Source organism: Homo sapiens, chromosome 11 (genome assembly GCF_000001405.40).
Source record: "Homo sapiens chromosome 11, GRCh38.p14 Primary Assembly".
Classification (NCBI taxonomy): Eukaryota; Metazoa; Chordata; class Mammalia; order Primates; family Hominidae; genus Homo; species Homo sapiens.
In genome coordinates, this window is record NC_000011.10 from 116,130,459 (window position 1) to 116,132,503 (window position 2,045).

General features: G+C 50.1%; 1 annotated feature.

The window, feature by feature from the left end:
- Positions 546 to 1,045: an enhancer, noted in NCBI's record as "H3K4me1 hESC enhancer chr11:116001721-116002220 (GRCh37/hg19 assembly coordinates)". NCBI's record gives its function as "activates a minimal SCP1, AML or CMV promoter by ChIP-STARR-seq in naive and primed H9 embryonic stem cells {active_cell/tissue: H9 hESC(naive and primed)}" and the evidence as "EXISTENCE:reporter gene assay evidence [ECO:0000049][PMID:30033119]".

Here is a 2,045-nt window from a genome sequence, read left to right on the forward strand (position 1 = left end):
AATGTGCTTCGTACCATATCAGAGTTTTCTTAGAAAGAGGCAAGCAGAGGCTTAGCGGACAGGAATTAGCGCACAGGAAGAGCGGCCGCCTCCCATAGGATGAGTAGCAGCCGCCATGATGGGCCAAGACCCCCACAGCCCCCAAGCTCCACAGGCTCCATCTGAGCTTCCTGCCTCCTCCTTTCTCTACTGCCCGAGATCCTGACAGGGTCTAATCCATCTCTCCTGACTTTATCTCCAGCTAGAGACTTTCTAGCCCTTGTGGTCGGTGGGGCCATAAAGACACTCTTTATTGGCATGCTATGTTTCTGTCACCCAGGCTGCCCCCAACAGAATAAGCAGCATAATCAGCGGAATAAATTCTCTCCTCTCCCTCTGGCTCTCTCCCTCCTCCACCTCTCTCTCTCTCTCTCTCTCTGTCTCTCTCTCTCTCTCTCTCTCTCTCTGTCTCTCTCTCTCTGTCTCTGTCTCTCTCTCTCTGTCTCTTCTCTCTCTCTCTCTCTCTCTCTCTCTCTCTCTCTCTCTCTCTCTCATACCCCAGGGAAGAGAGTGGCCCTCACAAACCAACTGCCCATCCAGAGCCCTGAAACCAACCTCTGGGTGACAGGGGTCCTCCCAAAGAGCAGGGGAGCCGCAGATGCCCTGTCGCACCCGAGACTGTAAAATGCAGTTGATAAGAATGTGGACTTCTGGAGTCAGAAAGACCTGGGTCCAGAGCCCAGCTCCACCAGTTCCTCGCTGTGTGATCTTAGGCAAGTGACCTAAGCATTCTGAGCCTCACATTCTTATCATTCCTAACTCACCAAGGCGTCCTAAGAATGAAACAGGAAAATATATCAAAAAATGCTTACCAGACTGCCTGGCACATTGTAAATGCTCCATAAGTGGAAGCTATTATTACCCTCCCTCCTGCATGTTTTTACTTCTTTCTCTGGGGAGGGAAGCGGCTCTTCTGCTATGCACCACAAGGCAATAACTCAGCCTTCAGGAGGCCTGGGGAAAGGTCAGTGGGCCAGTCGGGGGACTCTCTTTATCACACAAAAAGCTCCCAAGAATAGCTGGGCCCATTTGGAACAGGCCTCCAGGCCTCCAAGCCTATATCCATCTGTGGCAGGGCTGCTGAGCTCAGCCTGGCAAATGAATAATGATAGCTAAAGAAAAGGGACACGCAACTCTTCACAGCTTCTTTACTACCTTGCCTTTCCTGGAAGTACCTCTGTGGTTCATTATCACTCACCTCAAGCAAGGGCTTCTGGTTCATTTATTCACCATCCACAGGGCACTCGCTATAAGCCTGGCACTGAGCTGGGCACAGTAGACAGCACCAAATGATTTTTACACAGTCACTGACCTCGATCCACTTACAACAACTTCAAAGAGGTGGGCCTATCTCCAGTTAGAGTCAAATCAGGAGGTGCAAGAAGCCAAAAATTCTCACCTGAGATCAGTGATGGCTTTTCAGAGGCACTTGAAACATAGGTTAAATGCCCATGGGCAAAAAAGAGAAGATAATCACATACAGACAAGGCCATGCCAGCAAAGGACAGTGCCTGGCATGCTCAAGTAAGGGAGAATTCAATAAGGCATTCTTATTTGTGGAAAAGAGCACCATGCTGTGTGCTATGGAGAAAGAAGAAGGGATCGCAATGAATTCTCCCTTACCTGAACATGCCAGGCACTGTCCTTTGCTGGCAAGGCCTTGTCTGTATCTGATTATCTTCTCTTGTGCAGAGCCCAAGGCATGCAGAGGGATGTTACAGAATCTGAGACTTTAAAGGTAGGTTGAGGCCAATTCTGAGATGACCAGAGAAGGCCATGCCAAAGAGTTTAAACTTATCCTTTAGGCCTTTGAGAGTTGTTGAAAGATTTAGGGGAAGGTGAATGGCTCCGCTTGTATTTTTTGAAGCTTACCCCGACAGCAGTGAGGGCAGAAGCAGAGAGTCCAGACTGCAAGCCCGTGCGCGGGCCCAGTCACCTCAGCGGGAGGTCCTGAGGGCCTGAGCGAAGGCAGGAGCAGGCCCTATATTGGAGCTCCAGTGGATGTT